The 26,857-nt window shown below is 41.3% G+C and overlaps 1 protein-coding gene across 2 annotated transcripts in view, besides 3 other annotated features; it reads right to left on the reverse strand.

Moving 5' to 3' along the window:
* Positions 7,639-8,510: an enhancer, noted in NCBI's record as "OCT4-NANOG-H3K27ac-H3K4me1 hESC enhancer chr1:144706370-144707235 (GRCh37/hg19 assembly coordinates)". NCBI's record gives its function as "activates a minimal SCP1, AML or CMV promoter by ChIP-STARR-seq in primed H9 embryonic stem cells {active_cell/tissue: H9 hESC(primed)}" and the evidence as "EXISTENCE:reporter gene assay evidence [ECO:0000049][PMID:30033119]".
* Positions 9,719-10,243: an enhancer, noted in NCBI's record as "H3K27ac-H3K4me1 hESC enhancer chr1:144983763-144984287 (GRCh37/hg19 assembly coordinates)". NCBI's record gives its function as "activates a minimal SCP1, AML or CMV promoter by ChIP-STARR-seq in primed H9 embryonic stem cells {active_cell/tissue: H9 hESC(primed)}" and the evidence as "EXISTENCE:reporter gene assay evidence [ECO:0000049][PMID:30033119]".
* Positions 11,165-11,666: an enhancer, noted in NCBI's record as "H3K27ac hESC enhancer chr1:144709889-144710390 (GRCh37/hg19 assembly coordinates)". NCBI's record gives its function as "activates a minimal SCP1, AML or CMV promoter by ChIP-STARR-seq in primed H9 embryonic stem cells {active_cell/tissue: H9 hESC(primed)}" and the evidence as "EXISTENCE:reporter gene assay evidence [ECO:0000049][PMID:30033119]".
* LOC124904395 (uncharacterized) overlaps positions 20,954-26,857 on the reverse strand; it is an 81,309-nt gene continuing 75,405 nt past the window's right edge. The window contains exons 4-5 of one of the 2 annotated variants that reach the window (XM_047438030.1): positions 26,495-26,749; positions 20,954-23,421 (exon numbers count right to left, since the gene is read on the reverse strand). In XM_047438030.1, the coding sequence (XP_047293986.1) occupies positions 26,537-26,749 (213 nt within the window). In that variant the 3' untranslated portion in view covers positions 20,954-23,421; positions 26,495-26,536. Of the gene's footprint in view, positions 23,422-23,659; positions 26,750-26,857 lie in introns of those variants that run through there. The other variant, XM_047438029.1, reaches the window with a different exon arrangement.

The following is a 26,857-nucleotide window of genomic DNA, read 5'->3' on the forward strand; positions in this document are numbered from 1 at the left end:
ACACCTTTGCTCATTTTTGAAGTGGGGCAAGACCCCCACTTCGTAGGACTATTACTTGATTGAGATTAAATATGTGTAAAATGCATAACATGGTGCCTGGCTTATAGTAAACACTAAATGGATTTCTTCTTCCATAGGATTTAAATAGGGAGCAATTTTTTTTCTATCAAGAGCTGATCAGAAATAAATGGGAAGCATTTAAATGCTCTCCTTCCCCTGTCCCAAGAGGACTTTCACTTTCCAACATTCTACATACTTTATTTATAATATTTATTGTTTATTTTCTGTCTACTCATGACAGACTATAAGTTCTATGAGGATGGGAATGCCTGTATGTGCTTATTATATGACCTAACAGTTCCACTACTGGGTATTTACCCGAAAGAAATAAAACAAAGACTTATACATGAATATATTGATATATACTCCAGTCACCTCCAATAGAATCTAGAACACAGTAGGGGCTTAGTACATATTTTTAAATGAATGAAGACTAATGTTTAGTTTAAACTAGGATTGACCTATTCTTATCTTCGGCAGAGACAGAGAATAACTAATTACCACTTGTCACATATTGAGACTTCAGTACCTAAAAGGCATTATTAGGTCACCTGTAAGTCTGTTTTCCCCCAAAGTAAAAATCCCAATTCCATTGCCCTTTTCACATAAGCCTCATTTTCTAACCTTTTTAGTTTGGTTTAACGAATTTCCTATTTCCTCTGAATTCTGGAGTTCCAAACCAGACTCAGCACAAGCCTAACAGGGCAACCTATACAGATAAGGACAGCCCAGGCACATTGCACACGGCAAGTTGCACCTGTTTTAAGAGTAAAAATGAGGTCAATGCCACCTTGTACTGCAGGTACCTCAATGAGACAATGCCACCCCTTCCTGCCACAATCTTGGCAAAAGTCACTACGAAAGTAAATATCATTTTACTAGAGTCCTTTCTTTCTCTCCAGTGAATAACACAATGTAGTTATTCACTGGAAAACATCATTTGCATTTGAAAGAGTTACTAACTAAATTCTAAAGAATGTACCAAAGCCTTGCTTAACTGTAGAATGAGGCCACACGGCTGCTGGGATACCAGGTACTCTCCCTGAGCCTATTGATGGCAAATTTCATCCTGTGAAAAATGGGAACAAGACACCCACTTCATAGGACTATTATATGGTTGAAATTAAATATGTGTAAAATGCATAACATGGTGCCTGGCACACAGTAAACACAAAACAGATTTCTTCCTCTATAGCATTTAAATGGGAAGTATTTAGCGTTTACTTGCCATGTGCATGAGTGAATTTGGGAAAAGTGGGGGGAGGATATGGGGCAAAGAAGGACAGAAAGGGCCTAAGAGTAGGAAGAATTTAATACCAGAAGATGGGACAAGACCTGGGTCTAGAAACCTCTTCTGCAGATAAAGTAGCTGCAAATTATAGGGAAGGAGTCCTCAGGCTGCTTTCCTTATAACCATTTATTTTCCTGCACCTTATATCAAGAACGTTAGGCACTGGTTAAGACCCTGTCCCCTTGCAGCAGTAGAGAAAACAGGAGGAAGGAGACGGGAGGTAGAAATTTGGAAGCTAGCAGTTGAAGGCCAACTCAGAAAGCGTCAGGTGGAATTCCATTCCTAATTGACATCACCATCCTCTAACTGCAGCAATTCTCTCCAGCCCTTTTATGTGCTCCCTACAGAACCAAGCTTCCACACAGCTGAAGGAACCTGTCTGCTCTCACCCCAGCTTCACAGAAGATGGCAGGGACTGGTTATTACTAACCTGCCTCCTAGTCTTCTGAGGCTCCAAATGGTTTTGTCAGCAAGCTGAGCTTCCCCACAATCCCACAGACTAGAAGGGGTTGGAAAGAACAAGCCTTAGAACAATACTGCTCCCCACCTCTAAGGGATCTGCTCCTCTGAGTCCCAGAAGTTCACCGCCTTCATTTGATTTCTGCTACAGGAAGACTCTGGGAATCCAGCTCTGGACCCAGCACTTCCTGATTTTTGAAGTAGAGAGTTGACAACCCTGTTGTCATCAATACAACTGTGCTAGGTGGGTGGGAAAGGAAAATATCTTGGGCTCCCAAAATCACTAAGCTAAAAGGAAAACTCAGGATCATGGTGGATGGAAGTCAGGACTAGATTGCAGCTCCGACTCGGATGGACAGAGAAGCATGTGGAGGCTCATATCATGAATTTTTGCTCCAGAACGACTGGAGGAATAAATTACAAAACCTGAGAGGACCCACAGGCCCCCTGAAGGAAGCAGATGGCTCCTGCAGGACCCAGGAGACACACCAAATACTGTGTTAGTATTTACTTATAGAAATGCAAAATGGTCTGGAAAGTCTCAGCCATAGAATCAAACAAGTAGAAGAAAGAAATTCAGAGCTCGAACACAAAGTCTTCAATTTGACCCAATCCAACCAAGACAAAGAAAAACAAATAAGAAAATATGAACAAAGCCTCCAAAAACTCTGGGATTATGTTAAATGACCAAACCTAAGAATAATTGGCATTGCTGAGGAAGAAGAGAAATCTAAAAGTTTGAAAAACATATTTGGGGGAATAATTGAGGAAAATTTCCCCAACCTTGCTAGAGACCTAAACAAATACAAGAAGCACAAAGAACACCTGGGAAATTTATTGCAAAGAGATCGTCACCTAGGCACATTGTCATCAGGTTATCTAAAGTTAAGACAAAAGAAAGAATCTTAAGAGCTGTGAGACAAAAGAACCCAGTAACCTATGAAGGAAAACCTGTCAGATTAACAGCAGATTTCTCAGCAGGAATCCTACAAGCCAGAAGGGATTGGGCCCCTATCTTCAGCATCCTAAAACAAAACAATTATTAGCCGAGAATTTTGTATCCAGTGAAACTAAGCTTCGTATACGAAGAGAAGATACAGTATTTTTCAGACAAACAAATGCTGAGAGAATTTGCCACTACCATGCCAGCGCTACAAGAATTGCTAAAAGAAGCTTCAAATCTTGAAACAAAACCTGGAAACACATCAAAACAGAACCTCTTTAAAATATAAATCTCACAGGACCTATAAAACAAAAATACAATTCAAAAAAACAAAAACAAAACCCAAAAAACCAAGGTATACAGGCAACAAAAAGCACAATGAACGGAATGGTACCTCACATCCCAATACTAACATTGAATGTAAATGGCCGAAATGCGCCACTTAAAAGATACAGAATTGCAGAATGGATAAGAATTAACCGACCAACTATCTGCTGCCTTTAAGAGACTCACCTAACACATAAGAGACTTATCTGACACATAAGGACTCACATAAACTTAAGGTAAAGGGGTGGAAAAAGACATTTCATGCAAATGGACACCAAAAGCAAAAGCAAGCAGAAGTAACTATTGTTTTTTTGTTTTTTTGGTTTTTTTGAGATGGAGTTTCACTCTTGTAGTCCAGGCTGGAGTGCAATGGCGCGATCTTGGCTCACTGCAACCTCCGCCTCCCAGGTTCAAGCAATTCTCCTGTGTCAGCTTCCCAAGTAGCTGGAACTACAGGTGTGCACCACCATGCCCAGCTAATTTTTGTATTTTTAGTACAGATAGGTTTAGTACAGGCAGGGGTGATCTGCCTGCCTTGGCCTCCCAAAGTGCTAGGATTACAGGCATAAGCCACCGTGCCTGGCCCAGCAGTAGTTATTCTTATATCAGACAAAACAAACTTTAAAGAAATTGCAGTTAAAAAAGACAAAGAGCGGCATTATATAATGATAAAAGGCCTTGTCCAACAGGAAAATATCACAATCCTAAACATATATGCACCTAACACTGGAGCTCCCAAATTTATAAAACCATCACTAATAGACCTAAGAAATGAGATAGACAGTAACACAATAATAGTGGGGGACTTCAATATGTCACTGACAGCACTAGACAGGCCAATGAGACAGAAAGTCAACAAAGAAACAATGGATTTAAACTATACCCTGGAACACATGGACTTAACACATATATACAGAACATTCCATCCAACAACTGCAGAATATACATTCTATTCAACAGTGCATGGAACTTTCTCCAAGATAGACCACATGGTAGGCCACAAAACAAGCCGCAATAAATTTAAGAAAATTGAAATTTTATCAAGCACTCTCTCAGACCACAGTGGAATAAAACTGGAAATCAACTCCAAAAGGAGCTTTCAAAACCATGCAAATACATGGAAATTAACCTGCTCCTGAATGATCATGAAATCGAGATGGAAATTAAAAAAATCTTCAAATTGAACAAAAATAGTGATACAACCTATCAAAACTTCTGGAATACAGCAAAGTCAGTGCTAAAAGGAAAGTTCATATTCCTAAACACCTACATCAAAAAGTCTAAAAGAGCACAAACAGACAATCAAAGGTCACACTTCAAGGAACTAGAGAAACAAGAACAAACCAAACCCAAACCAGCAGAAGAAAGGAAATAACCAAGATCAGAGCAGAACTAAATGAAACTGAAACAAACAAACAAAAAATACAAAAGATAAATGAAATGAAAACCTGGTTCTTTGAAAAGATAAATAAAGCTGCCGGGCGTGGTGGCTCACGCCTGTAATCCCAGCACTTTGGGAGGCCAAGGTGGGCGGATCACAAGGTCAGGAGATCGAGACCATTCTGGCTAACATGGTGAAGCCCCGTCTCTACTAAAAATACAAAAAAGGTGTAAGGAAGGGATCCAGTTTCAGCTTTCTACATATGGCTAGCCAGTTTTCCCAGCACCATTTATTAAATAGGGAATCCTTTCCCCATTGCTTGTTTTTCTCAGGTTTGTCAAAGATCAGATAGTTGTAGATATGCGGCATTATTTATAGGTGGGAATTGAACAATGAGAACACATGGACACAGGAAGGGGAACATCACACTCTAGGGACTGTTGTGGGGTGGGGGGAGGGGGGAGGGATAGCATTAGGAGATATACCTAATGCTAAATGACGAGTTAATGGGTGCAGCACACCAGCATGGCACATGTATACATATGTAGCTAACCTGCACGTTGTGCACATGTACCCTAAAACTTAAAGTATAATAATAATAAAATAAAATAAATAAAAAATAAAAAATAAAAATAAAAATACAAAAAATTAGCCGGACGCCATGGTGGGCACCTGTAGTCCCAGCTACTCGGGAGGCTGAGGCAGGAGAATGGCATGAACCCGGGAGGCGGAGCTTGTAGTGAGCCGAGATCGCACCACTGCACTCCAGCCTAGGCGACAGAGCAAGACTCCATCTCAAAAAAAAAAAAACCTAGAAGAGATGGATAAATTCCTGGAAAGATACAACCCTCCTAGCTTAAATCAGGAAGAATTAGATACTCTGAACAGACCAATAACAAGCAACAAGATTGAAATGCTAATTTAAACATTACCAACAAAAAAAGTCCAGGACCGGATGGATTCACAGCAGAATGTAACCAGGCATTCAAAGAATTGGTACCAATCCTATTGACACTATTTCATAGGATTGAGAAAGAGGGAACCCTCCCTAAATCATTCTACGAAGCCAGCATCACCCTAATACCAAAACCAGAAAAGGACATAACCAAAAAAGAAAACTGCAGACCAATATCCTTGATGAACATCGATACTAAAATCCTTAACAAAATACTAGCTAACCGAATCCAACAACATATCAAAAATATAATCCACCATGATCAAGTGGGTTTCATACCAGGGATGCAGGGAGGTTTAACATACGCAAGTCAATAAATGTGGTACACCACATAAACAAAATTAAAAACAAAAATCACCATGATCATCTCAATAGATGCAGAAAAAGCATTTGACAAAATCCAGCATCCCCTTATGATTAAAACTCTCAGCAAAATCAGCATACAAGGGACATATCTCAATGTAATAAAAGCCATCTATGACAAACCCACAGCCAACGTAATAATGACTGGGGGAAAAGTTAAAAGCATTTCCTCTGAGAACTGAAACAAGACAAGGATGCCCACTCACACCACTCCTCTTCAACATAGTTCTGGAAGTCCTAGCCAGAGCAAGACAAGAGAAAGAAATAAAGGGGATCCAAATTGTTATAGAGGAAGTCAAACTGTCACTATTTGCTGATGATATTATTGTTTACTTAGAAAATCCTAGAGTCCTCCAGAAAGCTCCTAGAACTGATAAAACAATTCAGCAAAATTTCTGGATACAAAATTAATGCATGCGAATCAGTAGCTCTTCTATACACCAACAGCGACCAAGCTGAGAATCAAATCAAGAACTCAACCCCTTTTACAACAGCTGCAAAAAATAAAATAAAATAAAATACTTAGGAATATACCTAACCAAGGAGGTGAAAGACCTCTACAAGGAAAACTACAAAACACTGCTGAAGGAAATCATAGACGACACAAATGAATGGAAACACATCCCATGCTCATGGATGGGTAGAATCAATATTGTGAAAATGACCATACTGCCAAAAGCAATCTACAAATTTAACACAATTCCCATCAAAATACCGCCATCATTCTTTACAGAATTAGAAAAAACAATTCTAAAACTCATATGGAACCAAAAAGGAGCCCGCATAGCCAAAGCAAGACTAAGCAAAAAGAATAAATCTATAGGCATCACATTACCTGATTTCAAACTATACTATAAGGCCATAGTCACCAAAACAGCATGATACTGGCATAAAAATAGGCACAGAGACCAATGGAACAGAATAGATAACCCATAAATAAACTCAAATACTTACAGCCAACTGATCTTCGACAAAGCAAACAAAAACATAAAGTGGGGAAAGGACACCCTTTTCAACAAATGGTGCTGGGATAATTGGCTAGCCACACGTAAGAGAACTAAACTGGATCCTCATCTCTCACCTTACACAGAAATCAGCTCAAGATGGATTAAGGATTTAAATCTAAGTTCTGAAACTATAAAAATTCTAGAAGGTATCATCGAAAAAACCCTTATAGACATTGGCTTAGGCAAGGATTTCACGACCAAGAACCCAAAAGCAAATGCAATAAAAACAAAGACAAACAGCTGGGACTTAATTAAACTAAAGAGCTTTTGCACGGCAAAAGGAACAGTCAGCAGAGTAAACAGACAACCCACAGAGTGGGAGAAAATCTTCACAGTCTGTACATCTGACAAAGGACTAACATCCAGAATCTACAACAAACTCAAACAAATCAGCAAGAAAAAAACAAACAATCCCATCATAAAGTGGGCTAAGGATATGAATAGACAGTTCTCAAAAGAAGATATACAAATGGCCAACAAACATATGAAAAAAGGCTCAACATCGCTAATAATCAGGGAAATGCAAATCAAAACCACAATGTGATACCACCTTACTCCTGCAAGAATGGCCATAATCAAAAAAATAAAAAAATAGTAGATATGTATGTGGATGCAGTGAACAGGGAACACTTCTACACTGCTTGTGGGAATGTAAACTAGTACAGCCACTATGGAAAACAATGTGGAGATTCCTTAAAAAACTAAAAGTAGAACTACCATTTGATCCAGCAATCCCACTACAGGGTATCTACCTAGAGGAAAAGAAGTCATTATACAAAAAAGATACTTGAACACGCATACGTATAGCAGCACAGTTCACAACTGCAAAAACGTGGAACCAACCCAAGTGCCCACCAATCAATGAGTGGATAAAGAAACTGTGGTGTGTATATACACACATATATATATATATATGATGGATATATATATATATATATATATATGATAGAATACTACTCAGCCAATAAAAGGAATAAATTAACGCATTCACAATGATCTGGATGAGATTGGAGACTATCATTCTAAGTGAAGTAAGGCAGGAAAGGAAAACCAAACATTGTATGTTCTCACTCATAAGTGGGAGCTAAGCTATAAGGATACAAAGGCATAAGAATGACACAGTGGACTTTGGGGACTCAAGGGGAAAGGGGGGGAAGTGGGTGAGGGATAAAAGATCACAAATAGGGTGCAGTATATACTGCTTGGGTGATGGGTGCACCAAAATCTCACAAATCACCACTAAAGAAATTACTCATGTAACCAAACACCATCTGTTCCCCAATAACCTATGGAAATGAAAATACAAAAAATAAAAGGAAAACTCAAGCTGGAAACTGTTTAGGGCAAACCTGCCTCCCATTCTATTCAAAGTTATCTCTCTGCTCACTGAGATAAATGCATATCTGATTGCCTCCTTTGGAAAGGCTAATTAGAAACTCAAAAGAATGCAACCTTTTGTCTCTCTTCTGTGACCTAGAAGCCGCCTCCCCCACTGCAAGTTTTCCTGCCTTTGCTTCAAGTTGTCCCGCCTTTCCAGACCGAACCAATGTACTTCTTACATACATTGATTGATGTCTCATGTCTCCCTAGAATGTACAAAACCAAGCTGTGCCCCAAACACCTTGGTCACATGTCATAAAGACTTCCTGAGGCTATGCCAGGGGCACGTGTCCTCAACCTTGGCAAAATAAACTTTCTAAATTTACTGAGACCTGTCTCAAATTTTCGGAGTTCACAGTGGGCAAGACTAGATTTACTTTTGTGTTGAGCAGATACTGAGCTTGACTGATGAGAATCTGGAGTGTGAGGTCTGACGGAGTAACTCTGAGAGAGGAAGCTACCTGTGTGGTCTCAGGGAGAAGATCTGAGACTTACCAAGAAAAAGTGACCTGAAAGAACTGGCTGACTTCAGGCCCTTGACCAGTGCCTAGACCCTCTTTCTGCAGCTCCAGATCATAGCCATCATGCTGGCAGCCTCCCTGCCGCTCATCCAGGCACCTTAAAGAAGGGCTTCCTCTTCCCAAGCCTCTGGGTGGGCTTTCTAAAGTCCTGTGTGCATGAAGAGGTGGCCTGTAGCCCTTTGCAGCAGCAGGGCTTACATGAGGCTGGGATATGAAAAGCTGGCATTACAATGCAGCTTGTGCCTTGCATTCACTCCCCACTTCATCAAGCCAAGTTTCTAAATAACAGGGATAGTAACTGCCCACTGTGGCCCAATGTCACTTCTAAAGTTGCTTGGCAAAAAGCCACATGACTATTACTTAGCTCTCCACAGAACGGCATGTACCAAGTCGGATCACTGCTGTCGGTGTGTGGGTGGATTAGCTGCTATTGAACATGATAGGGCGGGCCCCTTTCCAGTTTGCACCAGCCCCGCTCTGTGCCTACTCCATGTATCATAGAGCCTCCTCTCTCTGTGCAGTTGAACTTGATCAGATGAGATGGCAAAAGCCAGAGCAGGGAGCAAGGCAAAAGAGAAAAATATGTTCACGGTGACTTTTGAAAACATATGGATGAAACTCCTGAGGAGGCTGAGGAACTAAACCTTTTCTTTTGGCAGTAGGCACAGAGTGCAGATTCATCTCTCTGTGAATTACTCTAGCTCCTGCTGTGTGAGTTCTATTTTAGCCCAGTAATGCAAAAAGAAAGAAAAACTAAGTTCTGACAAGCACTTACATTTCTTGAATTTTTGTTGAAGGTCCCAGAGGTCATTGTAAGCAGCCTGAACAGGTAGTTAGGGCTCCTGGATTCTAGTCTCAGCTTGGCTACTAATTTACCGTGTGACGTTAGGCAAATTACTATTCTGAGCTTTAGTCATCTTATCTTTAAAATGAAGGGTTTATTCTTTAGAGGAAGCTGAGTGAATGGCATACGGGAACACTCTGTACTATTTTTATAACTTTGCTATAAGTCTAAAATTATTTTTAAATAAATGGTTTTCTTAAAAAGTGAAAGGATTATGTAGATTATCTTCAAGATCCTCTCTACCTCTGAATAATGATTTTATGTTCTTACTTATCTTCCTTCAGGTGAAAGTAAGTCTCTTTCCAGCTATCCAAACATATAACAGAGTGGAATTTTTCCTCACTCCTTCTGCCCCAGGCAAGATGTTGATCAGCCCCAACACAAACCTGTTTTCTGCTTTAAACATATCCTATACCTAGGGCAAAATTTAAATTATCTAAAACACATTTAAAAACACCCCATCCATACCCACTTTGTTCTTTCAAACAAGTAAATTCACCCAGCAGGGAAAAGCTGTTGCTGGCAGTCCATGCCTACAGAATCTCAGCCTTGCCCTAGCAACGAGGCTAATTATAACTCCGGCTACCTGGTAACCGCACTAGATTTCCCTGCATTGGCTGGCAGTTCTAAAGCCATCTCAGCTCTGCCTGCCACCTCCCATCCTGAGAAGCTGTCAGAGAAGCTGAGAAACTATGAGTCTCTTTTAAGCAACTATCTAAGCTGTGGTGAGAACACCCATGTATCATAGAGCTTCCTTTCTCTGCGCCCAGAGAAAGGCTGCCCAGAATCACAGGACTTCAGAACTGGGAGGGATGTGTGCGTCAATCCTGGTCCAGCCCACTCATTTAAACACAAAGAACCAGAAGCCCAGAAAAAGTGACTTGCCTTAGCCTGGCCTTCCTCTTGATTCCTTTCCCTCAATTCTCCCGTCCTGATCAATCATCAAGTCCTACAAATATTTTACCTCTTAAATATTTTAAAGATGAGTTGCCTCCCCTCTATTCCTACTGCCACAGCCCTCATTCGGGCCTTCATCTTCTTTGGCTTGGCAAGTCTGTTCTCACTCACTTCCTGCCTTGACTCTCTTGAATCCACCTTTCCCATGCATCAGAGGGATCTAGCAGGTTCCCTGCAGCTTAAAGCCCATCAGTGGTGCCTTGTCTTCTTCAGGATAAAGTCTACACTCTTTAAAATGGCACAAAAGACTGTGTCCGTCATATCAGTCTCATTCTTCGCCTAGTACTTAAATCCACCAACACCAAACCACTTCTAATTCTGTGCAAGCACCCTATGGTTTCTTGCCTCAAGGCTTTTGCTTGTGACAAAAACTCTGTCCTTCCACTTCATCATCCATTGACTGATTAGTGCTTATTCCCCTTTGAAGACGAAGTTCAGGGGTCATCACGAATAATCCTTTGCAGATTTTCTTTCCATCCACTCTATTCATTTGGGATAGAAGTGCCCCCTTTGAGTTGCCTTACACTTTGTACACAGCTCTGTTACTGCCTTTTACTATACTCTAGCACCTGTGGTTTACTCATCTTTGAAGTCCCAACTTCTAGTACTTGGAACATAGCAGGTACCTAATTAATGTTTATTAATGAATGAATGGATAAGTCCAAAGCTTTCCATGATTTCTCCCCTGCAGCCTCATCTTACCACCACCACAAGCCCTCCAAACCACATGATCTAGCCATACTGAATGATTCCAGTGTGCCAAGTGCACATTGCTTTTGTACACCTCTGCTTTTGTATATTGTTTCTTCTGTTTGAAATGCCTTTTCCCACCAGGCGCGGTGGCTCACACGTATAATCCCAGCACTTTGGGAGGCCGAGGTGGGTGGATTACCTGAGGTAAGGAGTTTGAGACCACCCTGGCCAGCATGGCGAAACCCCATCTCTACTAAAAATACAAAAATTAGCCGGGCATGGTGACACACGCCTGTAATCCCAGCTACTTGGGAGGCTAAGGCAGGAGAATCGCTTGAGCCCAGGAGACGGAGGTTGCAGTGAGCCGAGATCATGCCACTGCACTCCAGCCTGGCTGACAGAGCAAGACTCTGTCTCAAAGAAAAAAAAAAAGAATTTCTGGATTTTCCAGGCATGGTGGCTCATGCCTGTAATCTCAGCACTTTGGGAGGCCGAAGTGGGTGGATCACGAGGTCAGGAGATTGAGACCAGCCTGGCTAACGTGGTGAAAACCCGTCTCTACTAAAAATATGAAAAATTAGCGTATGTTTCACAGCATCTGTAATCCCAGCTACTCAGGAGGCTGGGGCAGGAGAATCGCTTGAACCTGGGAGGTGGAGATTGCAGCAAGCCAAGATGGCGCCACTGCACTCCAGCCTGGGCCACAAAGTGAGACTCCATCTCAAAAAAAAAAAAAAAAGAAGAAAAAAGAAATGCCTTTTCCCATTTCTTGTTATGTTACTACCTTTTAGGATTCAATGCAAACTTCAAACACTTGGCAAGGCCTTTCCTGGTGGATTTTATTGCACTATAGCAAAATCTGTCCATACCTCTATGGTAGCCCTTATTATACCATTTTTATTTATTTGTTGATGTCTTCTCCACCAGAATCTAGCACAGTAGCTGGCATATAGTAGATAATCAATAGACGTTTGACTGAATATACCAATGCATATGCGCAAATATGAGCAAAAAAATGACTAAAATGATATTGCAAACAAGGGAAACATTTGAGACAGAAATTTAGAATGTCTATTTTTTTCAAGTGTAACATGCTACTTCTATCAGTGCATAAACCTGAATGTACATACACTATAGAAAGAAGTGGCCTTGTAATAAGTTCATGCAGAAGTATAAATTATGTAGACATTGTTAGGGGGATAACTGAAAGTGGATTAGAATTAAATTAGGGCCCAGAATTTAGTCTGGGATTTGTTTTCCAGTGGTTGAAAGAAAAATTCCTAAGTATTCAAAGGGAAGAAGCATTTCTCAACAGGCAAGTATTATGAATTCTAATTAAAAGCTCTGAAAAAATGAGATAAGTTGTGTTAAGGAAAAGCAGAAAACAGAGTTTCCTTTGGTTAAGAGTTCCACTATTTTTATAAGCAACTGACTTTTTTGGGGAAAGTTGCTTTAAGCATTTTTTTTTCTGTGTGTATGTGTGAGATGGGGTCTCACTCTGTCACCCAGGCTAGAATGCAGGAGCACAATCATGGCTCACTGCAGCCTCAACCTTCTGGGCTCAAGCAATCCTCCCACCTCAGCCTCCCAAGTAGCTGGTACCACAGCCACACACCACTATGTCAGCTAATTAAAAAAAAAAAAATTTACAGAGATGCAGTCTTGCTATGTTTCCCAGGCTGGTCTCAAACTCCTGGGCTCAAGTGATCCTCCCACCTTGGCCTTGCGAAGTGCTGGGATTACTGACATGCGCCAACATGCCAGGCCTAAACATTTTGTGTGTGTGTGTTAAAATATACATATAATAAAATTTGCCATTTTAACTATTTTAAAGTATATAGTTCTATGGCATTAAGTACATTCACATAGTTGTTCAAATATCACTATCCATCTCCAGAACTTTTTCCCAAATGAAACTGTAGCCACTAACTCCCCATTCCCTCCTCCCCACAACCCCTGGCAACCATAGTTCCACTTTCTGTCTTCATTATTTGACTACTCTAGGTACTTCATTTAAGTGAAATAATAAATATTTGTCCTTTAGGGACTGACTTTACTTAGCATGACATCTTTAAGGTTCACTCATGTTACAGCACATGTCAGAGTTTCATACCTTTCTAAGGCTAAATAATATCCAGTGTCTATATAGCCCACATTTTGTTTATCCACTCATTTGTCAATGAACACTTGAGTTGCTTCCACCTGTTGGCTACTGTAAACAATGCTCCTATGAACACAGAAATACAAATATCTATTTGAGTTCCTGTTTTCATTTATTTTGTGTTATACCCAGAGTAGAATTGCTGGATTATACGGTAAGTCTATGTTTAATTTTTTGAGAAACTCCATACTGGTTTTCACAGCACCTGCACCATTTCACATTCTTTCTAGCAATGTGCAAGGGTTCCAATTTCTCCACATCTTTACTAGTATTTGTTATTTTCTGGGTTGTTTGATTTTTAGTATAATAGCCATCCTAATGAGTGTGAAGTTTGAAAAAATATTTAACCAAAATCATAAATATTGGTTACAAATATTTAATGGATGGATTCCCTCTATTTCTGCCAACTTTCATTCCCTGAAAGAAGAAATAGGTAAGCATGACCTCACGAACCTCAGAAGGCTGAGAATGGGGAATTGGCACACACAGTGTGCGTAGACACAGACACACATGGACCATGTTCATACTAGGCTTCCAGAGAACCATTTAAAAATAGTTTGGCTAATGTAATCTTGTCTGTCTCTTATGTTCCTCCTTTCCCATCATACACATTTCTTAAAGTTCGTGTAAGTAAAACATAGGAGAAAAAAACATAGCCACTAATTAAATAAGGCATCCAAGTGTAAAAGAAGAGCAAACTCTGCTACATATAAGAAGACAAGCATTAATTCTGGCAACAGCAGCCACACAGCCACTTTAGACAATAACCTGAGCAGGTGCATGCTTTCTAGTATGTGTCTCCAGCTATGCAGGATAGAAATCACAATCCTTTCTGTTTATCTAACGTCTAATACACTAAAACATGTTTACCCATGGGGGAGAAGAGCACGACAGGAATTGATGACTCTAATTTAGGAAACTAAGGTTCACAGAAGTTAAGTGACTTGGCCAAGATCATGTAGCTAGAAAAGGCAGGTTAAGAATTCAGGTTTCCTTAGAGTTCAAAACTTTTATCACAACATTTTTGATAACCCCCCAAGATACTCATCCTTCTCTAATAGCCTTCCTTTGGTTCAAGTCCAGCTTCCTAAATCCTACCGCCTGATGGAGTTCCTGAGCTTCCTTGTAAGTCTGCAGGTATATTGTTCCTCATCATGTTGCCCAAAGCCTAAAGAAATCAGGCTAGGACCAAAGAAAATCAGTCAATGAGCCAAAAAGAAATTTAATCAACCCAGCCTTTCTTATTTATTTTCTTTGAATGAACATTTGTATCTGAGAATGCCAAGGTAAATTTGATGCAATAGGGGCACTTGGATTATATTATGTTATTTACACACAAGCAAACAAAAATTGAGAATTGAGACAAATAGGACAAATGGTCCCAAGTCCACTATTGAGGAAAAAGAAACTGATTTGGAATAAAAAATAGTCCAGCATGAATGTGTCAGTAATTAAGACTTATCTGGATAAGTTTGCCGTCTCTCAATTTGTCACAATAATGGCAAATATTTATTGAGAGCTTACTATGTGATAGGCATTATGCTGAGTTCAGCTAATTGACTCATTTCATCCTCCTCTAGACCCTATAAGATAGGTGTTATTACTGCCCTTGCTTTAGCTCAGAGAAATTATGGTATTTTTCCCAACACAAATAGTAAGTAGAAAAATCAAGATTTCACCCCAGGTCTCGCCAATTTATAGCTCTTAGCCGTTATGCCCAGCAATAACAGAATAGTAAAAACAAGGACAATTTGGTAGGCAAGTAAAATCAGTAGGCTGTTTACCATAGCTATAGAAGTATGCTATGCATAAACCTCAAAGATTGCGCAGGAAAAGTATCATCCAATCTCAAAGATGAGAAAACCAAAGAAGTTTCAATCTCAGAGAAGTCAGGCAGCTTAAGGGTCATAAAACAACGCAACACAACTCTCTCAACTCATATCTAAGGGCTAAGTCCACTTTAACCTTCCAATATCATTACATCATATTTAAACATTGACTCTATCTGGTCAAGGACGACAACATTTTATTTCTCCTGACCCTTTTGCTATCAGATCTGGCCTTGTCAGTTTTTCAATTTCATTCTTAGAATGGAAACTTAATTCACACAAGTTGAACAAGTAGTCATCAGGGGGCAAAACCCAGTGGATGATGGTTTTGTGTGCTGTTTGGAGACTGGGTGTTTACCACACAGCAGTGGATTTCATAAATTCCAGGGTCAGACAAGATTCCAGTAGCGACACACTTGACTAATATGAGAAAATGCAGGATTAGGCAATCAACAATGAGGAAGTCAGCCAAGTTGCCACCCAAAAATTACTTACCACAGCAGCTGCAGTCCAGAAATGCTAACAAGCCAGTCTCCCTAGGAGTGGGCCATACTCAGCTGTGGACCACTCACAACATTTTCTCACTTTATTTTGCTTCAGAGTCAGTGTACTGCAATGATTTCTCCTTTGCTTGCTTTATATGTTTAAAATTGTCTTCCCTAAAAGCTGAACTTAAAATTAATGTTTGCTACCAAAAGGGGGTAGCAGTGCCTAGTCATGTAGGCATATGTCCCACTCTGTCGGTACAGAGGGTAAGCAGCCTCTTCCTTTTTAAAAAATTTATTATGATGATTTACAAAAATTGAAGCTTACAGGATAAACACTCAACAAAAAAGTAGCCAGTCTCAAGAAACCAATTTTTATGTATGAATTAATATTATTTTATTAATCCATGGCCAGGATGATTCTTAAGATTATTTCTTAATTCTCTGAACAGCTTAAAAGAGAGAAACTCCTTCTTTTTTATTTACTTGCTTTGAGGTTGATACTCTTAGGTTTTTAACATAACTCTCTAGCTTTGACAACTCCTCTTATAATTTAAAATCCTTATAGCTTCCATTTACAAGTAAGGATTATATCTATTTTAGTCTCCTCAATCAGCTACCTAGGAGAAGACTTGCCACTTGGAAAGAGAAAGATAGCACCCACTCTCCAGTTCTCTTCTCCCAAAGTTGCCCGTATTTCCCTTCCCTGAAGCCAATCAAATACTTTATTGTTTCTCGCTAAGAGTAATTTTTCACTCTTAAGTACAAACAGCTCAACAAAAATTCCCGGTAGCATAAATATGCACATCAATAAAATAATTACTACTCACAATAGACTTTCCATTACATATGTTTCACAAGCATTGGTTTTCTTAAAAAGAACCACGCATACAGCACTCAAATTATTGCAGATTCTAACTCAGTAGAGTTTGATTTAATGTTTTTACAATATTTTTTTTAAAGAAGTGTCCTTCCAACGCTAAGGAAAAAAATCAGAATCAAGAAAATTCTGTTTCTTAGCAACAGAAAAATCAAACTTCTGTTACTAAGTTTGGTAACAGAACAGTACTCTAAATTATCCTCTGAACCACCTGATTTACCATGTGATGCTGGGCACATTGCTGCTAATTAATCTTCCTAATCTCGTGGGATCACAATATGAATAACAAGAATGAACATCAGACACATCTGTGGGAATTATGAGGGGGAGATTATAAAGAGTCAAACCTTGTCCCCATATTTAAATTTTATAATAACTATAACTACTAGTAGAAATATAACTACTACCCTCTCATATATATGTGATGTTATTAAGTTTATAAAGTGTTTTGATATGTTTCTTATTTCATCTTCATGGCTGCTATTTATTCATAGAAAAATAATTCTCAGTATCTGTAGCATTATTGTTAATGTCAATCCTATAGAGGCTGGAACAGGCTCAGAGAGGCTAAGTAACTTGCCTAACTAAGTCTCCTGGTTGACAATAGGTCTTAATGCAGTGTTTTCCGAATCCCTCGTTCTTACATCAAAACAGAACTGTGGCTGGGTGTGGTGGCTCATGCCTGTAATCCCAGCAATTTAGGAGGCCAAGGTGAGATCACTTGAGCCCAGGAATTTGAGACCAGCCTGGGCAACATAGTGAGTGAGACCTCAATCTCTGCCAAAAAAAAAAAAAAAAAATACATACACACACACACACACACACACACACACACACACACAGACACACACATATATATATAAATAATTAGCCAGGTGTGGTGGCACACCTGTGGTCCCAGCTACTTGGGAGGCTGGGGTGGGAGGATCATTTGAGCCCAGGAGGTCAAGGCTGCAGTGAGTCGTGACGGTGCCACTGCACTCTAGCCTGGGTGACAGAGCGAGACCCTGTCTCAAAAAATAAAATAAACCAGAACGGCTCTAGTTCCTATCAATCACTCATCATGACATAGTGTGGTAAACTAATTTCAACTCTGAATGATTGATAATGGCTTTATGTGTTCTGTTTCCCAAGTAATAAGAACATTTTAGCACAAGCCTTTAGCGCTTTTCAAATAATCATAGCCAAATGAGAAAATTAATATGACAGGCAGATTGAACAAACATTTGGTGAGAAGGAAGAGGAGGGGATACAGTAGTTTGAGATCCCTCAAATCATATGATGCAGTAGCTGCCTGACAACTCTGCTAACACGTAAGACTAGATAGAGACAGGGCCATATCTACTTCCTGTATGGGACCCATGGCAATACTAGAGTCTAGCAAAAGGGTTGTCCTCTCTGCATGTGACAATAGGCTGTGTTCCACTCCCCCCACATACACCTTGTGCAGCTCCTATAATCTCATTTATCACACTTCTCCAGGTGAGAAATGGTGCCTTCTCACACCCCACCCAAAGTTGTTTCCTAAAGATCTTTCGCTAGGGCGGAGCAGAGAGTGAGATCAAATGATTCAGACAGCCATCTGATTCAGCTTTAAAAAAAAAAAATCCTGGTGGGGGCGCAGTGGCTCACGCCTGTAATCCCAGTACTTTGGGAGGCTGAGGCGGGTGGATCGCCTGAGGTCAGGAGTTTGAGACCAGCCTGGCCAACATGGTAAAACCCCGCCTCTATTAAAAATACAAAAATTAGCCAGGTGTGGTAGCAGGCGTCTGTAGTCCCAGCTACTCCGGAGAATCGCTTGAACCCAGGAGGCGGAGGTTGCAGTGAGCTGAGATCGTGCCACTGCACTCTAGCCTGGGCGACAGAGTGAGACTCTGTCTCAGAACAACAACAACAACAACAAAATCCTTTCCCTCAAATTACCTAAGAAATTGTCCTTTCCTTCTTTGCCCTGAAGACAGTTAATGGGGAAAGTTCCTCCCTCTGCACAGTGAATAAATCCATCCACTATTCCTACCCTAACCCTAAGGCAAAACCTCCCACTCATCCTCCGTCTCTCGCCATCTCTCTGTTACCAACCCTCACTTGGCAATATCCTTCTTGACACGTGGCAGCTCCAATGAGGCACACTCATTACATAGCCACGTAAAAGATAAAAGGTGAATCTGGACCAACTTCTGGAAAATTTGGACTTAAAACATGGAAATGCAGGAGAGACAGGAAATAGAGTTAAATCCCCCAGATTTAGCTATACACATTAATTGAATTAACTAAATAATCATTTGGGTCTCATAGACACCAGCTATTTCCCTGATCCAAGATGTTATCTAGCAGCCTGTATCGCTTCCCAGTCATCCATCCTCTTGACAGGACAGAGCACACATAGAAAATGGTATTTGTATAGCCCTCTGGGGTAAACAGTTGGAGAGTTAGAATCTCTGATAAGGTCAGAGGCAACCAGTCCCCGGTCACTTGGGCCACTTCAGGTCCTGCTTGTCCAGACACAGAGAGGGCTGAGGAAACCAATATTGTGGTGACCAGCTACGAGGCTTAATCCTCATAACCCATAGCCCAATGTCCTCTTATCAAGGTGCTGTCCTATCTCACCCACAGCTCAGCCAATCCAGTAGGTCTTCCTTCCCCACCCTGATCACTGACCCATCAATCAAGATAGCCCTCCCATCCAAGGAAGAGGCCATTTCCCCTCCCACTCCACCCAGGCCAACTGCTATCCCACAGGTTACTCTCTTCTTCATTTTAAGGCAAGCTATTCCAAAGACTAAAAATGCCTAAGATTCTGTCTTAAAAGCTTATCTGCATAGTCATCTTCAAAAGCAAACATGAATTTCTCAAGGAACGGAAACACCCTTAGCCCCTGCCCTTTTCTCCATAGCATCATTCTCTGCCCCACCAAGCCGGAGCTAGGAGGGCACTTTCTCTAGGAGAGGTATGACCTGGAGATGATCTGCTTCAGAGCCACCTCAGGGATCTTGCTTAAAAATGCATATTTTCCCAGGCAAAGTGGCTCATGCCTATAATACCAACAACAGTGGAGGCTGAGGTGGGAGGATCTAAAGGCCAGGAGTTTGAGACCAGCCTGGACAACATAGTGCCACCCCTTTGGTACGAATTTTTTTTTTTTTTTTTTTTGAGACAGACTCTTGCTCTGTCACCTAGGCTGGAGTGTAGCGGCGCAATCCCGTCTCACCGCAACCTCCGCCTCCTGGGTTCAAGCAATTCTCCTGCCTCAGCCTCCCAAGTAGCTTGGACTACAGGCATATGCCACCACACCCGCTAATTTTTGTACTTTTTAAGTAGAGATGGAGTTTCACCATGTTGGCCAGGCTGGTCTCGAACTCCTGACCTCAAGCCTTCTGTCTTCCTTGGCTTCCCAAAGTGCTGGGATTACAGGCATGAGCCACTGTGCCCTGCCAATTTTTTTTTTTTTAATTATCTGGGCCTGGTGTCCTGTGCCTGTGGTCCCAGCTGCTCAGGAGGCTGAGCCAGAAGGCATCACTTGAGCCCAAGAATTGGTGGCTGCAGTGCTATGATGGTGACACTGCACTCCAGCCTGAGCAACAGGGCAAGACCTGTTTCTAAAATAAATAAATTTTAAAAATGCAAATATCCACCCCAGCCCCACCCTCTCCCCCCACCTTCCCCCACATTACTACATCGGAATCCCTAGGGTGAGGCATGGAATCTACATTTTAAACCAGCTCCCAAGGTGATTGTTCCGCACAGTTCCACGTCAGTGTTTGAGAGAGGCTCTGATTTATTCCAGTCCTCTTTCTTTACAGAGAAGGAAAGCAGAAAGCAGGCACCAGAGAGGTGAAATGAGCTTGTCCAAGGTCACAGGTTGTTAAGGTGACCAGAGCTGGACGAAACCCCACCTCTCTCGCTGACTAGCACAGCGCCAGCTAGGAAGAGCCTAGAATAGCGACCAACTGGCAGGCCAAACCGTCCCCTGCCCCTGCCCCTGCCTCGGAGAAGCGGGCCCCTGCACTCACCCGCTTGTAGATGTCCTCCCGGCTGGCCTCATACTTCTGTTGCATGCGCTCCTCCAGGAAGTAGATGCGCAGCTTGAGGCTGAAGTTCTCCTTCTTCAGGTCATTGAGGTGCTGGGACAGAGTGCGATATCCATTAGACATGATGGGCAACCCATGGGGAGGAGCGTGCCCGATTGCCCCCTCAACCCAGGAACATGGTGCAGCTGCACCGCAGCATGAAGCCAGCCGGCTGGGACGCTGCTGAGGCTGCGGACCGAGAGGCTGGGGCTATGGCGACATGGCCCCTATTGCTGGAGCTCTCTCCGGGACTCAGGACTGGGCTCACTGCTCTGGGTGCTGGAGCGCAGCACACTTTCCTTTTTTACCTCAGGGAGATATTTGCGGAATCCCTGACAGAGGAACATGCTGCGTGAACTCAGACACAAGTGGTGTAACCCGACTCCAAGCCAGGACTCTGCTGTCACCCTCCTGGAGCCTCCCAGGCCCAACTGTAGGCAGTTAACAGCTTCTCGGAAAAGAGAGACTGACCCCCAAGAGCTTCCAGGAAAGGGGGAGGGGAGATATTCAAGGTGACAGTGGGTTTGCAAAGAAGAGAAGGAAATAGAGGGTGGGGAGGGGGTATTTAAATGACTTGTGGCTGATTTGGACTATAAGACCAAAAGGAGTGTGGCCAGAAGCAAGAAATAAGTTGCTATAGAAAAGACCATGTACATAAAATGGCCCACAAAGGTAACCGCATGTCAAATATCCCCTTCCTGTCCAGTGCAAATCTTAAAGAGCTTCTAACCAGAGGAGTCTCAATTTCCTTTGATAATCCAGAGCTCACTTCTAATGAGTTCCTTTGCAGTTTTCAGCCCCAAGCTTTTTGAGCTCTGAGGCAGTTCAACTAATAGCCTTTATTGCCATGAGCCTTCCCCCGAAACACACCATAGCTACCCGCAAAGAAAGAGCAAATCTTCTAGCTCAGCGGAATCTTTGCAGACTCTATTTACCAGTTACAAAGCTCAGAAAGAGGCAGGGTCAAGGGATCCTCCCTCCATGGAAGAAGGGATGGGCAGAAGAGAGTGTGGGAGGATGACAGAGAGGGAGCCGTCATCCTGGAGCCCAAAGATTTCAGGCAGTCACTGGTTCTTAACTCTGGCACCTGCCAAGTGGAGCCGGGCACTCATCACCAGATCTTGCTCCTAAAGTAATTTAAGATCCTTGAGTGACAGCTGCAACATTAGCAGGAAGTATTATTTATACCACATTACATTGAAGGTGATGGGAGACAACCCCAGAGCACAGATAACAAACACGGGTTCTTTGTGGCAATAATATTAGGTTGAAAAAATATATATTAACATTCAAGATAAAGGAAACTACAAAATTTACACTTAATTCAAGCCCTCATTTCCTCCCCAACCTACCTGCTTTTCATTCTTCCAATTCCTTCTCAAACCTTCATAATCATTCCAGTCAACAACTCCTGAGTACTCACCAGGTAGGACATTGGGCATGAGGGATATATAGATCAAGAATGTCCCAACCCTCAAAGAGCTACGTGGCCATACAGCTGGCCATGATATGTTAAGATATGTGTTTTACATTATGATCCTCCAAACCTGTGTTTTTCAACTTTTGTATGTTACATTGCCATCTAGCACATATGCATACACTCTTAACTGAAGTAAATGTTTCAAAAAGTAATTGTCACCATCACTATGTGTGATGTCCTCTGATATTTCCTATTTCTTTTTCTGCCAGTGACCCACCCGACGGATTTCATGACCCACTAATAAGTTTCAGCCTGAGTTTAAAAAACGTTGACTCTGGGGGAGCCCGTAAGAAAGAGTAGTCAGTTCTTACTGGGGTGATCAGAGAAAGCTTCATTAGGAGTTGAATTTGCACTTTGCCTTGAAAAATAAAAAATGTTTGAGTGGATAAAGTGGCCCCAGGAGGGCATAATTAGAGTGAAGCATTCTCCCAAATAGATTTAGATTATAAATAGGCAAAATAGGCAAGCCCAAATATTTACCATTTGAAAAAAAAAAACTACACATTTAAAATCCATTTAACTATTTTCACTAAATCTGAATTCTTAGAATTTGAGAATGCCAACTAGGCTTAGTTAGAGACAGTGAAGAAAAAAGTCTAAGTTAAAACAACTCAAAATATCCTTTTCCATTCCCAGTTCTCTTACTAAATAGCTATGTTATAGACCATTTCTCTAGAAGCCTAACTGTCCTCACTTAAAAAATGAAATGGCTTTAAAAATTGGTGATTTTTTTTTTTTTTTGAGACAGAGTCTTGCTCTGTTGCCTAGGCTGGAGTGCAGTGGTGCAATCTCAACTCACTGCAACCTCTGCCTCCTGGGTTCAAGCCATTCTCCTGCTTCAGCCTCCTGAGTAGCTGGGACTACAGGTGCCCGCCACCGCGCCCGGCTAATTTTTCATTGTTTTAGTAGAGACAGGGTTTCACAGCGTTAGCCAGGATGGTCTCGATCTCCTGACCTTGAGATCCGCCCGCCTTAGCCTCCCAAAGTGCTGGGATTACAGGCATGAGCCACCGCGTCTGGCCAAAATTAGTGATTTTTAAGGCCCTTTCCTGGTCTAAGCTCTTCAAGGTGATAACCCAGTTAATATCACCTCCATTTTGCTCAAGGGGAGCCAGGCTGCCAGAGTTTAGATAAGTGTTTAATCATGCTTTGGCTGTCTACTTAGATTCCTTTATCAGGTAAAATAATTTCATAAAAGTTTTACAGGAAGTAAAACTGTGTATGAATCCAGGGTATTCTTATGCATCCTAGATTTCTGTTGGACATTTATGCTTATTTCCTCCATGATATCTTGTTCTTCTATCTCTCTGGATCCTTTTCTGTGTTTTTTGCCAGCTCCTGAAAGTGGGTATTTAAATGATGGTAAGTCCTTAGCCTTCTACTTTTTTTTCTCTTCACATTTTTATCCATGGAGGTTTTATCCACTTTTAGGGCTATACTTTCACCTTCGAAACAATTCCCAAATCTCCAACCGAGTCTTCTCACCCAAGATCTAGCCGTACATATTCAACTCTTGGCTTAGATCATTCAACTTGAGTGTTCCCAAATTCCACCCAAGCAAAGCCTTTCCTCTTACCCTAGCCTGGAAAGACTTCTTCCTCTTTTGAACTCTAAGGCAGATATTAACATTCAACAAGTGTTCATATGCTGCCTTATGATGTGGCTTTTGTTATCTTGAAGGGTTATTTACATCTTTTAGAGTTACGCGACTTTTTGTGTGTTTGATCTTTCCAACTAGTCTGAAGCTGCCCAAGGAAAAAGTCAATGACTAACTAATACATCTTCATAAACTCCTACAGCTTCCATAACAACCTGAGACCTCTCCAACAGCATTCATCCCATTGTGCTGTCACAGTCTGTTTACGATGACCTCAACCTGGCTAGAGTGTTTTGAGAGCTGACAAGGCATATTTTGTGTCCTTGTATTCTTGTTGCATAGTACTCAGGAAGCACTCCCTAAATATTTGTGGAATCAATGAACAGGAAAATATTCCATAAACATTGTACGTTTTGCTTTGTTATATATGGGCTGGCTCACCTGTATTATTCTCATAGATTTCCAATAATATGAAAAAAGTTTGTTTTAATAGTCCTAAATAAACTATATTTGGTAGAACACTTATTCTAGAAGACGTAGAAAAATGACGTTTTGTTCACTTACATTTCTAAGTTTACATGCCCACCCTGATCTTTTCCCTGAACTCCAATTGATATCTGACTGTCTAGTAGAAATCTCTGCTTGAATTTAGACATCACATACTTGTGATATCTAAAACTGAACTCCTGATCTTTCCCAGTAAACATGCTCCTCCCTCACTACACCTTTTTTCAACTTGTAACAACTCAATATTTTCAGATTTTTGAGCCCAAACCTTTGAGTCATTTCTTGATTCATTCTCTCTCCTACATATCATCTGTCTGTAAATCTTACTATGTATATTCTACATTATAGTATATATATTAATAACATATATGGTAGTATATATATGTTGTAGCTGTTGTATTATGTATGTAATATATAATACTATATTATATATACTATTATACTACTATATATATATTTTATATATATGTTATACTACCACTACTGCCACTGGTATTTCTACCACCCTGACCCACAGTACTGCCATCTTTTCCTTACATGATCTGAATAGCCCCTTAACTGGTGTTCCTGCTCCCACTCTTGTTCCCTTGTAGTCTATTCTCAGCACAGCAGCCACAGTGACCCTTTCAAAATACGTCAGATTACTCCTCTGCTGGAGAGCCCCCTGGCTTCCCATCTAACTTAGAGTGAAAGGTGATGTCCCTTCACCAGACTGCAAGGCCTGAGGCCCTACACCCTCTTCTTGCCTCTCCTATTACCTCCTCTACTTCTTCCTACCACTCTCCCTCTGTTCTCTGCTGTAGCCACACTGTTTCTCTTTGTTATTTCTCAAAAACAGGAAGCAAGAGAAGCTTTCTTTTCCGAGGCCTTTGAACTTGTTGACCCTTCTGCTTGGCTGCTCTTTCTCTAGGGAGGTGCACGATTCTCTCCTCACCTTCTTCATCTTTGATTGAATGTCACCTTCTTGGTGAAGTGAATACTCTTTAGGCACCCCATGCCTCATCCCAGCTCTCCGAATCCCCCTTCATTGTTTTTTATTCCGTAGCACTATCACCTTCTAAAATACATTTTCTTATTTATTTTGTTTCTTGTCTGTCTCTCCCCACCAGCATGTAAACTTCCTGAGAAAAGTGGGATGTTTTCTTAGTTTGTTCACTGCTGTGTCACCAGTGCCCAGAACGGTGCCTGATACATAGCTGGTGCTCAATAAATATTTGTTGAATTAAAGAATGGATGAGTAATTAACCTGCTGATTTATTTCTCATTGGAGTAATACAACTTAATCGATACACAAGATTATGTAGATGTTTTAGGATAAAAAGCATACCTAATAGCATTCCTCCTTATAAAAAGATTATAAGTAAAATAAATTATTCTAACAGACTCATTTTAATACACCATGCAGAATCTGGACTTTCTACAACAGTTCCGAACAAATATGGAATCGTATATGACAAATTATAAAGGACAATATGAACTGTACAAATACTAAAAACTGGGCCAGGCACGGTGGCTTATGCCTGTAATCCCAGCACTTTGGGAGGCCCAGGTGAGCAGATCGCATGAGGTCAGGAGTTCAAGACCAGCCCGGTCAACATGGTGAAACTCCGTCTCTACTAAAAATACAAAAATTAGCCGGGCGTGGTGGCATGTGCCTGTAGTCCCAGCTACTCAGGTGGCTGAGGCATGATGATTGCTTGAACCTGGAAAGTAGAGGTTGCAGTGAGCGGAGATCATGCCACTGCACTCCAGCCTGGGTGACAGAGCAAGACTCCGTCTCAGAAAAAAAAAAAGTAAAAACTATAAAAATTAGGAAGGAGAGGTGGCCAGAGAAGGTACCACAGAGAATTGGCACTTTAGCTTGTCTCAAAGGATGAGTTGAGCTTGGATAGGCAGTGGGGAGAACACAAGGCAGTCCAGGCAGGTGGAACATAAGCGAAAGGGCAGTGTGCCCACCAGGCCAAAGCAAAGGGCACATACTGTCCTGAAATAGGCCACAGAGATGAGGGGAAATAAAAAGCCGTCTCAAGGAGATCTTGAAAGCCAGGGTGAGAAGCCTGGAGTTTGCCCCTCCAGGATCCTGGCTCTCAATCTGGATAAGAGTGAGGGGAAGGGAAGTGGAGGTGGGGAGGAGGGCAGTGGGGGTGGGGAGGGCCAGGAACTGCTGACTGGGAAGATTATTTTCTTTGTGTATTGCTTAGGTTTCGTTTTACTTATTTGTTTTCTTGCAGCTTTAACAAACATCAGCGCTGCATGTGGAAACTTGGAAAAGAAAAAAAAAGCTTTAACAAACAAAAACACACATACCTGAGATGCACACGGCAACCTACTAGCTCATGGCAAACAGGCCTATATGTTGATAACCTCTGCATTGCTTAGGAAATAAAACACTGCAGATTCTTGAGCAAGGGGAAGTGCTTCTATCTTTGTTCTTCCTTTTTCTCCTAGTACATATAACATCTTTACTCTGGTCTCAGAATGTTTCTTCCAAACCTTAATGGCTCTCCCCTTCTTTTTCCTTAATTTCTTCATTCCACCCCTGGAATAACGTTCTAGTCCAGACTAGAAATACAACGTAAATAAAGACTCAATCAATGCCAACAGTAGGAGGAGGATTACCACCCAGCTGTTGCCTGTCATGCCCCATTAACACAACCAACCGTCAAGTCT

This window comes from Homo sapiens, chromosome 1 (assembly GCF_000001405.40).
Source record: "Homo sapiens chromosome 1, GRCh38.p14 Primary Assembly".
Lineage (NCBI taxonomy): Eukaryota > Metazoa > Chordata > Mammalia > Primates > Hominidae > Homo > Homo sapiens.